The following is a 12,016-nucleotide window of genomic DNA, read 5'->3' on the forward strand; positions in this document are numbered from 1 at the left end:
TTCAAACTACATGAGGGAAACAACTAAGCTCTTTTGCCTATCAAAGTTACTCAGCATATAACCTGTACTTTCTAGGATTTTTTTTTTTTTTTTTTTTTGAGACAGAGTTTCACTCTTGTTGCCCAGGCTGGAGTGCAATGGTGCGATCTTGGCTCACTGCAGCCTCGCCTCCCAGGTTCAAGCGATTCTCCTGCCTCAGCCTCCTGAGTAGCTGGGATTACAGGCATGCACCACTGCGCCCGGCTAATTTTGTAGTTTTTAGTAGAGACGGGGTTTCTCCACGTTTGTCAGGCTGGTCTCGAACTCCCGACCTCAGGTGATCCGCCCAACTCAGCCTCCCAAAGTGCTGGGATTACAGGCATGAGCCACCGTGCCTGGCCATTCTAGGAAATGTTAAGAAGGAGCAAGCCATCCAGAATTGGAGACAGGAGAGTATTCTGAAACTTTTAGCCAAAATTTGAACTTATTATTTGATCTTCAGTGAGTTTTATGTTCCTTCCTCAGGCTTTGTTATTTTGCTTTTGAAGTAGTTAAAATATGTATATGTCCCCCTTTAAATACAGAAATCTGATTATACAAACAATTTCATTTAAAGAGTTTACAGAAAATCGGCCGTTCGTGGTGGCTCACGCCTGTAATCCCAGCACTTTGGGAGGCCAAGGCAGGCAGATCACTTGAGGTCAGGAGTTCGAGACCAGCCTGGCCAACATAGTGAAATCCTGTCTCTACTAAAAATGCAAAAATTCGCTGGGCATGGTGGTGTGCGTCCGTAATCCCAGCTACTTGAGAATCTGAGGCACGAGAATCACTTGAACCCGGGAGGTGGAGGTTGCGGTGAGTTGAGATCGTGCCACTGCACTCCAGCCTGGGTGACAGAGCAAGACTCTGTCTCAAATATAAAATAAGAGTTTACAGAAAATCCTTGTACATAACTCAAGGGTCTAGAATTTAAGAAATAAGTTTAGAACAGAATTTAGAGTGTGAAACGACCATAAAGACTTATCTAGTTCAGTCTTGATTTATAGATGTGACAAATCAAGGCACAGACAACTTAAATTATTTACTTGGATTCTTCTGATTGCTAGCAGAATCTGTTGAAACACACATACTCAAAGTCCCTTTGAAGAAAACAGCTTTGTTTGTAAACCACTAGAATCTTTGCAACAGACATTTAATACTGCACAGTGACTTCTTTTGTTTACCTCTTGCTATTTGACCTCAGTAACTCACAGAAATGCCATGCCTGTTGTTCAAAGCAAGTGTGAAAAAACAGTCTTTGTTTATAACCTGCTTTTGTGGTGAGAACTGTAGAAGCTCACTTACCCAATGTGACTTGGACTGGTAATTAAGTGAAAAGTTGGTTAAAGGCTTTTTCTTGGAGGTGTGGTCCATGGATTGGAGTTCTGTATTATCTTTTGTGCATACACTTTACCCGTAATTTCCAGGTGGATTTCTTTGAAATGGCTGGAGAACTTAGACTTTGTAGAGCATCTGAGAGTGCCAAAACCTCTTGGATTTTTGTAGAGTTCACTCCCAACCTTTTCTAATTTTAATGCTTATACCTAGTTAGCAGTATTTTTTTTTTCTAGAAGAAACACTTCATTTAAAAAATTTTCCCAAAGCTTTCAACTTATAATATCTATTCTAGAATGTCAAAGTCATTGTAATAACAGTTCAACAACCAGGCCTTCAGAAGTTTTTATACTATTTAATTATATTTCATAATTAACTGTAACAAGTGTAACTAGCACAGACAGATACCAGAATGAACTTGGTTGACCCATGATGTGTAGCAACTCCTGTCTACAAGCTCTGAGCGTTAGGCAAACCATAGGCTGATGGGTATATGTTGGAGGGATAAAAGTTGGTCAGCTTTCTGATGACTCAGCTCAGTGGAGGTTGCTTAAGAGAGCTGCTACTGTATCCTTAAGGGGCCATTGGTAAATTTTAGGACAAGTATCTTCAGGGAACCTAAAGGGAAAATAAATTGTGTGTGTGTGTGTGTGTGTTTGTGTGTGTGTGTGTGTGTGCGCGCGCGCGTGTGTGAAGCCTTATTGAAGAGTAGCAATAGACTCTTTCTTACTAGGCGTAATCAAGTTGCCCTCCTGGGGAAACTCAAATGCAAAAATCCTCTTGAACTTTTCTGGGTAGCCTACTCTACTCTTTCCTAATAGTACCACTACAGTATACAGCACTGTAAAATTTTTTGCTTTAAAAGTTTGTTTATAAACTGGCATTTATAAGTATACTTTTTGAGCTGATTTAAGAATCAAGTTTTTTTTTCTAGGGAAATGCTTCTTTGTAATTATCTGTCACTAGCAAAATTTGTTTTAACATATATTTTTCTAAAAATATGATATGTAAACTGTGTTGTAGTTGTACAATTAAAGGTTTTTGGTCGAACAGTTATTACATGATGTAAAATCATGTGTAACACTTTAATATTAATTACATTGTAACCTAAAATTCATTTTAAAACTTTTTATGTGGCTTGAACAGGAATTTTCTTATCCAAAGCTTTGTATGTATGCTTTATTGCCTCCTTTGTTATTAGCATGGAGACCATGGGTTTTCTGTTATTGTTGTTTCATTTAAACAGTTCATGAATATATTAAGCACCTGAAAGAAACTGTTAGATGCTGTTAATAGGAAGAGGAGTTAAAAACCTCGTCCTTGCCCTTATCTACATGTGTACATGTAGAACTTACTGTAGTTCCCTAGATGTAGCAGGTGCTCAGGAAACATTTTTGTAGTAGTAAAAAAGAAATGTCAAACTCTAACTTGCTCTGGAGCAAATTCCGCTAGTAAACATTGTTTTTCAAGCTTCTTTTTTTTGCCTTGCGTCCTACTTTCTTAGGCCAAAATAATTCATCCACATCCCACCTTAGCTGTTTTTTTGTGTCAAACAAAAATCTTATTTGGAAATAGCATGTTACGCCAACTGTGTTGGGGCATCCCATACTGTATTGCATTAAATGAGGAGAAAGATGCAGAGGCCATGTGGGGAGGATTGTGATCCTGATAAGAGTGGGATGAGGGATAACAACAGAGAGACTGCCGTTCAATATTTCTTTCTTTCTTTTTTTTTGAGACGGAGTCTGGCTCTGTTGCCCTAGGCTGGAGTGCAGTGGCGTGATCTTGGCTCACTGCAAGCTCCGCCTGCCAGGTTCACGCCATTCTTCTGCCTCAGCCTCCCAAGAAGCTGGGACTACAGGCGCCCGCCACCACGCCCGGCTAATTTTTTGTATTTTTAGTAGAGACGGGGTTTCACTGTGTTAGCCAGGATGGTCTCAATCTCCTGACCTCGTGATCCGCCCGCCTCGGCCTCCCAGCGTGCTGGGATTACAGGAGTGAGCCACCGCGCCCGGCCTGCCATTCAGTATTTCTAATTAATTCAGATGGGGAAGAAAATCTCTAGTGACTATTATTTTTTAAACCTGTACCTGTGTGTCCCTCCAGTGAAGGCCATTTAAACCCCATTTTTGGTGAAGTAGTTTATGATTCATTTATGTGAAACTTTTAGTTACTAGAAACACTACAGGTATTTTGTACTCCTGTGATTTTTAAAAAAATGCTTCTTTTTTTCCCCTAGTCTCCTTATATACATTTGACAAAGCCAAACAGTGTATTGGCACAATGACCATCGAGATTGATTTCCTGCAGAAAAAAAGCATTGACTCCAACCCTTATGACACCGACAAGATGGCAGCAGAATTTATTCAGCAATTCAACAACCAGGCCTTCTCAGTGGGACAACAGGTAGTTTTTAATTTTCTTTCATTCCTTTAACTTTATAGGTATTCTAATTTCTGCAGTTTTCCAAAATTAATTCCACCTTTTAAAAAGTGAGAGGGGCTTTGCGTATCAACTCGTATATCCAAGGTGAGTGATAAAAGTGAGGGAGATGTATTTACTGAACTTCAAGGAGTCTGTTCAGAAAAATTCTAAAGTAGCTTTTAGATTAAAATGTCATGTATAATTATAGCAGCTTTTCCCTCAGCAAATTTGGGAACCCTGTGGACATATATATCTGAAATTCCTTTTTATATCATAGGACATTTGTTTTGCCTCTGGAATGTCTGTCTCTTTCACTAATATAGTTCTGTAGAAAATGTAGCTCTTGGCCAGACATGGTGGCTCATGCCTGTAATCCCAACACTTTGGGAGACTGAGTTGGGAGGATCGTTTGAGCCCAGGAGCTCAAGATCAGCTTGGGCAACAAAGTGAGACCCTGTCTCTACAAAAATTTTTTTAAAAGTAGCTGCGTGTAGTGGTCTCAACTACTCAAGAGGCTGAGGTGGGAGGACGGCTTGAGCCTGGGAGGTTGAGGCTGCAGTGAGCCATGATTGTGCCACGGCACTCCAGCCTGGGTGACAGATCGAGATTGTCTCAAAAAAAAAAAAAAAGTTCTTATTTTGGTTATGGGCTTATTTGAGAATCTTAAAAAACTGAATTCCTGCTAGATAGGAAAAGGATATAGTACATTATTTTAAAAAGAGTACTAGAATTGGAATGAACCTCAAGAGATTACCTTATGTAACTCCACATATACAAATGAGGAATTTTATTTTTTTATTTTTTAAAATTTTATTTATTTATTCATTTATTTTTTGAGATGGTGTGTTACCCTGTCATCCAGGCTGGAGTGCAGCGGCACCATCTCAGCTCACTGCAACCTCCGCTTTCTGGGTTCAAGTGATTTTCCTGCCTCTGCCTCCCGAGTAACTGGGATAACAGGCATGCGCCACCACACCCGACTAATTTTGTACTTTTAGTAGAGATGGGGTTTCACCATGTTAATCAGGCTAGTCTCGAACTCATGAGCTCAGGTGATCCATCCGCCTTGACCTCCCAAAGTGCTGAGATTACAGGCATGAGCCACCATGCCCAACCATTTTTTTTTTTGTATTTTTAGTAGAGATGGGGTTTTGCCATGTTGGCCAGGCTGGTCCTGACCTCAAGTGATCCTCCCACCTCGGCCTCCCAAAGTGCTGGGATTACAGGTGTGAGCCATCACGCCTGGCCAAATGAGGAATTTAAGATCTAAAGAAGGTAAATGGTATGCCCATGGCTACACAGCTAAGGGACATAGTTGAGATAAGAATTAATTAAACACATATTTGATAGTACCTAGTGCCTAGTACCAGTCACTGTTTTAGACACTGCAGATCGGCAGTGAACAAAATAGATATGATCCCTGCTGTCATAGAACTTACTTTCTAGTTGAAGAAAACAGAAAATAAGACAGGAATACCATGTACAGTTAGGTCTCTGATGAAAGTAGATCAGGACAATTCACCAGAGAGCTATTGCGGTGCTGTTGTGTATTGGATGACCAAAATTGTGCTCAGATTGCCTAGCTAAACTTGATGGTTTTTACCTTTGCTTTTAGTTTTAGTATCCTAATAGAAAATGTTTAGGAGAATGTTTAATAGAAAATGCTTTGGTATTTATAATAATTTAAAACTCAGTAGCATGTAGAAGTCAGTAAATCCATGAAAGAGAATCTTTCGTAATTCAGAGAAGAAGTAAATATCTTACTCCAGATCACTGTCCTTAACTGTTTCTTCTCATTTGTGGTATCTCGTAGTAGCAGAATGGACAGACAGCCCAACCTGTAATATTTACCATTATACCCCAGCACATAGAAGAAGACCAAACTTTTAGAAGGGACTCAGCAAAGATTTGGTGAATGAGTAATTGAGCATTCAGAAGCTGTCTCTGCACTTGTAGGGCAAGCATTTTGTACTAGTGATAGAAAAGCAGGAATTGTAGAGTCACAGACCCAGGGTTGACTTCTGGCGCTCTCATTTACTGTGACTTTGAGCCTTGTTGCATAGCCTGTTTCTGCATCTCAGCTTCCTCACTAGTAAAATGGAGTCGTAGTTTCTGCTTCCAAGAGTGTTTGTGAATATTATATAACTGGCTGTAGTGTTTGAATAAAATACTAAGAAACTTTATTCTTTGTTAGAAATAGTAAATGTGGTACTCTTGAATTACTTTAGGTGGCACTCTGACATTTAAATTAGATATTTTTTATCCATGTGGAAGAAATTTTAAACATGAGTTTTGCAGTCATTTTGTAAACACTGATCGTAAGTGCTAATTCCCTTTTCTTCATTGGCTGTGAGTAGTTTGTTTGAGGAGCAGATTGGAGAGGAGTATATAAGATAAACTGGTTTTCTGCATTTGAAAAACATTGGTGATGATCTGAGGATCAAACTATTATATTATGAAGTGATTTTTCTCCCCTTACCTCTTTTCTACATAGCTTGTCTTTAGCTTCAATGAAAAGCTTTTTGGCTTACTGGTGAAGGACATTGAAGCCATGGATCCTAGCATCCTGAAGGGAGAGCCTGCGACAGGGAAAAGGCAGAAGGTAGCTTTTATTTCTGATCATCTTTACTAGATCATCTTTATAATGTAATTTGTGCAGATTGATTATAATTTTCCTATCTGTTGCTTAGTGATTTTTTTCATATTGTGTACCCTTTTAAGATAGTAGGGAGAAAAAATTGCTTTCATAGCCATCATTGTTATTAAAATATAGCTTAAAATGTATTTATTTGCAGACCTAATATTAATGTAAAATGTAGACATATATGTACATATAATTTGCTTGAATGCAGATATTTATTGTAAATAAATAATAAGAAACGCATTATTGGAAAGATATAGGCATGGAAATAAGGCATGTAAGAATTGTAGAAGAAAGTTATGAGAAAAGTAAAAGTAGCTCAGATGATAGTCTGGAAGGTTTGCTTTGCCCAGAGAGACCTCATTTCCCCCTCACTTTTGGCCTTGCTTTGAGAAGTCCAGAAGTTTGCTATTAGACTACTAATTATTGTCTTTCTCTACAGATTGAAGTAGGACTGGTTGTTGGAAACAGTCAAGTTGCATTTGAAAAAGCAGAAAATTCGTCACTTAATCTTATTGGTAAGATTTACAGTTTTTAGAAGATTTGAAATGAAGTGGGCCTATTTCTATATGTAACTCAACTACAGTGATTTCCAAATGGGGAAAGGAAAGAGGGGCATCTCTCTTGAGAGAGTTTATCACAGAAGCATGGGGTATTTCCTGTTGGTCAGTTTGCTGATGAAAACGTTTAAAACCTTCATCTGGATCAACTTTGTCCAATAGAAATAGAGTGTGAGCCACATGTGTAATTTTTAATTTCCTAGAAATTGCACTAAAATAAGAAACAAATTAATTTTTTAACTTTTAATTTTGAGATAATTTTAGGTTCACAGATTTGCAGAAATAGCTCAGAGAATTTCTGTATGCCCTTTACCAGCTTACCCTGATGTTAATGTCTTATTTGACATTTTCAAAAGTACAATGATAAGAAATGAACATGGTTTCATTTCTGCTAACTAAACTACAGATTTTATTGAGATTTCACCAGTTTTTCCATTGTGTCCTTTTCTGTTCCAAGATCTAATTTAGGATCCCATATTGCATTTAGTTGTTCTGTCTTTTGAGTTTTCTTCAGTCACTGACAGTTCCTCAGACTTTGTCTTTTATGACTTTGAGAACTGGTCAGTTATTTTGTAGAATGCCCCTCACTTGGTTTTGTGTTAAATGAGATAGCATCATCATTTCTTTTAGTGATTAAGTGATGAATGTGCAGGTCAAGTCTTCCCAGCAGATTCATGGTTCAGTCCTACTCTTGTACTCTAGCACAATTTTTGTCATATTAAAACAATTGCAGCTTATTCTCTGAGAATAGTAACTCACCAGAATAATGTGACATTAACTGGGCATTAATTCTTATTTTTGGTTGATTTAACTATGTTGATGTCTACCCTACTAGAGAGTAGAGGGTTTTCATTGGTTGCACATCATCATGTCCAGGGTCACTTAACAGTCTTTGAGTGCGTGGCCTTTATTTCCTGGTCCACAAATTACCATTCCCCCTTATTGTTTTTTGTTAATTATAAAATATTTTATTTATAAAATATGGATAGGCATTCGAAAACAATTCACACACTGTAAAATTTGGTTCTGTTTTCATAGTTTTGTAATTTGCTTTTTTTGCTTAGCATGTTTCAAACATCTTAAATATACACCTATAACATGATTTTTAATGCCTGTATGTCATTTTATGAAGGTAGGATGTATTTTCCTGTTATTGATCTAGTACATTTATGAAGTGATTTCTTTGTATTTTATTTTTGTGTACCTTTTGTTAAGATATCCCAAGGGAGTTGCATAACTTTCATAGGTATTTCTAAGTAATCCATGGGAAAAAAATTGTGTAGTTAATTGGCATTCAGTAAATTTTGCCCACAAGAGGGCAGTAGAGTGTAAGAAAAAAATATTTTTCATCGCTTTCCAAAGGAAATCTTAAGGCCTCAAAACTCTAACCATAAAATTATCATCTAGTATAAACTTTTAAAAAGCGTTACTTTATTTTTAATTGACAGATAATAATTGTATATATTTATAGGGTACAATTTGATATTTTAATACATGTATACATTGTAGAATGATCAAATCAGGCTAATTAACATATCACCTCAAATATTTAGCATTTCTTAGGATAAACTTTTTTTAATGTGACATTTTCTTCCCTGGTTTTATAAAAACCATATTATTACTTTATTTTTTGTTTATAATAGAGCATACTAAGGTACTTAATTTATTCTTTGTTTGAAATAGTAAATGTGGTTCTCTTGAGTTGCTTTAGGTGGCACTCTGACATTTAAGTTAGATAATTTTTGTCCTCTTGAGAATTTTTAAACATGAGTTTTGTAATCATTGAAGTCTTTAGGATGATTTCAGACTTTTGTGTCCAAGTGAAGAGAAAGCAAAGAAGACATCAAACTTGTTCAGTATATTTCCTTAGGCTGAGGGGTTATATGCCCAATTACCTGTATAAGCTTAATCTGGATAAATATATGTATTTTAAAATAAACTTGCGTTAGGAGACTTCAGTGACTGCGAGATTTCAGTTGCATTTCTGCCAGCTAGTGTTGTCTTCATCAGATATGGCATTTCTTCTGATCAACCGAGTTAGTTAATTTAGTTAGATTGAAGGTTAATAAAACTAAGTTTTATGGACTGATACAAATAGACTACAGCATAAGTTTAGCTAGTCATTTTGACAGTGTGTTACCATATATGGAGATCAGACAAAGTAGATAGCATAGCAAAACTTACCCTTCTGACTGTAAAATCAGCTAAGATTATATTGTTCGTTTTGTATATGTAAGGGTAGCTTTTCTTTATTCATTTAGGATGCTCAGGGAGTTCTGTCTGTCTTTTTAGACTTAGTGATAAAGTCCTTGTTTCACATTTGATAATATTCGTTTGACATAGGCAAAGCTAAAACCAAGGAAAATCGCCAATCAATTATCAATCCTGACTGGAACTTTGAAAAAATGGGAATAGGAGGTCTAGACAAGGAATTTTCAGATATTTTCCGACGAGCATTTGCTTCCCGAGTATTTCCTCCAGAGATTGTGGAGCAGATGGGTAAGTTTAAAAAGGAAAATGTTATAAAATCTTGTGTTGTTAAAAAAATTAATGCAATGAAGAATCTCTTTTCAATAGTTTTGAAATTATTTTTCAGACCCATTATTTTTGTCTTTTTCTTTAAAAATGAACAGATAAATTTTCTGAAAAACTTTATAATACCAGAACTTTTAAAATTACATTTTAATTTTATGGGGAAATCATAGAAATAAGACTTGTGGTGGCTCCATTTTGTTTATTTATTTATTGAAGAATGCTTTTCTATGGGGCATATTTAGAAACTTCCCCTGACAGTAATAATACTAGTAGTGACTCCATTTTATTTATTTATTTGCGTAAGAATGTTTTTCTATAGGGCATATTTAGAAAGTTCACCTGACTCTAAAGATCACTATGGGTCAGATGTACCCTGCTGAATAATAACTATCTATTAGGCTGTGTGCATTGTTCTGACATTAGCTGCCGTTCCTTTTTATTGTACTGTTGCATTACCCAGTTAGTACATCTTCATACCTAATAAATGGGTACTTGCATATTTTTAAATTAAATAAGTTTGATCCAAAAAGACAAATGCAGGATATACATTGGAGTTTCTATATTGCATACAAAGAAGTGCACTATTCGTTTACCACTTTCTTCTTGAAGGTTTATTTAATTTATCTGTGTGAAGTGACTTTATTTGCCCAGTGGAAATGCTGTCATGACTGTTTTCATGTCCATATCATTCGTTGGATTGGAATGTGAGCAACAGAATATCTGAGAAAGGAATGTATAACATAACAGCTTCTGGCAGACTATTAGTGTAAAAACAGCATCCAAAAAAAAATGGAAGGAATATGAATATATTACTCCGCTCATCCCCATCATTCTTTATCTTTAAATTGCTACTGGAAGATAAAAGTATATTTATTATAGTGGGGATAAGAACTGCTTTCTAGGCACTAAGTGCTTGGATTGTATTAGCCTTCTATTGTTGGTAGCCTTTCTGCCTGGTCGCTCACTCTGATAAATTACAGGCACGGCACACACCTGTTCACTGAGTAAAGGTCGAGTTTGGAATTGGATTAAGAGAAAATGACAGAGACCCTCATCACCTGAGTTTTATACACCTTGAAATGGCAATAGCATACTTTTTATCTCAAAGATACAAAGGCCACGTCCATTAAAAGCAGAATTTTAATTGGGAAAATATTTTAAAATGTGGTAGTTCACTATCTTGGTAATGTGTATTTTCGATCAAGACATGAAAATATTGTTTAAGTGTATTTTGGGTAAAAGCAGGGATAAAAAGATGATTCCAAATGTTGTAAGTTATTCTTGTGGAATGTTTTTACTGGTTTTCAGAACTGAGATCTAGTGCAGGAAGAGTCTAATGATTCTGTTTCTTAGAACATTTATACTGTTTAGCCAAAAAGTAGAAAAATAACTGCATTGGTAGTAAGCCGTCTCTTTTAATTATAAATGTTTTCTCACTGTTTGGAAGCTATTGAAGATAACAGTTATTCAGATACTAGTTTGCTATTTGTGCATTATCTAGATCCTGCACTTGAAGCTACGCGCAACGTCAGTATGCGTTGGGTAGATAATGCGTAAAGGAGTTGGTCTCACATTGGTCAGTTTGTGACCTTGCCAGCTGTTGGAGAGTTTTAAATTAAATCAGAACAGATTTGGAATTTGTTAGTGAATTTCATCTGTTTCTGATATCCGTATTGAAATGAGCTGAATTACAGTAGTGTGCTTTTTGTTGTTTTTGATGTGTTTTTTGACTAAGCACTATGGATTTGAATTTTGTGAGTGCCACTGTCCAGAACCTTTTTTATGGATTTATTTTTCTAATATTTTTACACTAATTTAATTAGACAAAAAATGAATTCTATCCTTTTGGAAAAGTTTTTTTTTTTTTTCTCTTTATGGCTTTTTGCCATCAGGAAGCATTTGTTACCAATTTCATTGAAAAGACAAACTAGTATAAAGCTGTCCTGGCTTTTGAGCTGAATTGAAAAACTTATTTTCTTTATTCTGGATGAAGTTTCTGGGTATCTAAAAAAAAGTAAAGCTTCTTCTTTTTTTTTTTTTTAATGGTTAAATGGCTGAGAAATAATTCTTTTGTAATGCATGTATAATTCCCTGTCTTCCAATAGAGGCTTCTTTTTTCCTTTGAATTTTGGGGGAATTATATAGTAAAATCCTTTCTTGCACTCCAATTACAGTGTGGTTATAAAGTTCTCCTTAGGCTTTGGTAAAGGTATATAAATAAAAATGGTTATATTTTGACAGAATATAAATAAAATTATACAAATTATTTTTATGCATATTCTGTGTTGTTTTTTTTTTTGACATGTCAGGTGGGAACAACATGGATTTTTTTCCCCCACTCTTTGTTAACTAAATAGACAGATCTATATGGTTTGGGGATTCAGCTGGACACTGAGTATGACTGGTTAAATCAGTTCTAATTTTTAAAAAAGATTAGAAAAGAATAATTTATGTAGGTTATGGGGCTTTTTTGTTTTAAGCAGAAAACTTTACTTTTGGCTTG

At 36.0% G+C, this 12,016-nt stretch overlaps 1 protein-coding gene and 1 pseudogene across 3 annotated transcripts in view; both read left to right on the forward strand.

Annotated features, from left to right (window-relative positions):
• The window catches only part of NSFP1 (N-ethylmaleimide-sensitive factor pseudogene 1), a 50,285-nt pseudogene extending 43,393 nt beyond the window's left edge, over positions 1-6,892 (forward strand). Inside the window, exons 5-7 of the transcript NR_033799.1 lie at positions 3,593-3,759; positions 6,272-6,379; positions 6,861-6,892. The product of NR_033799.1 is annotated as an N-ethylmaleimide-sensitive factor pseudogene 1 (transcript). The remainder of the gene's footprint in view (positions 1-3,592; positions 3,760-6,271; positions 6,380-6,860) is intronic.
• The window catches only part of LRRC37A2 (leucine rich repeat containing 37 member A2), a 676,337-nt gene that overhangs the window by 43,414 nt on the left and 620,907 nt on the right, over positions 1-12,016 (forward strand). For both annotated transcript variants that reach the window (XR_007065300.1, XM_047436147.1), the window contains exons 5-8: positions 3,593-3,759; positions 6,272-6,379; positions 6,861-6,936; positions 9,322-9,477. Coding sequence is in view for 1 of the 2 variants with exons in the window: in XM_047436147.1 (XP_047292103.1) it covers positions 3,593-3,759; positions 6,272-6,379; positions 6,861-6,936; positions 9,322-9,477 (507 nt within the window). In the remaining variant the exon portion in view is untranslated. The remainder of the gene's footprint in view (positions 1-3,592; positions 3,760-6,271; positions 6,380-6,860; positions 6,937-9,321; positions 9,478-12,016) is intronic.

This window comes from Homo sapiens, chromosome 17 (assembly GCF_000001405.40).
Source record: "Homo sapiens chromosome 17, GRCh38.p14 Primary Assembly".
NCBI lineage: Eukaryota > Metazoa > Chordata > Mammalia > Primates > Hominidae > Homo > Homo sapiens.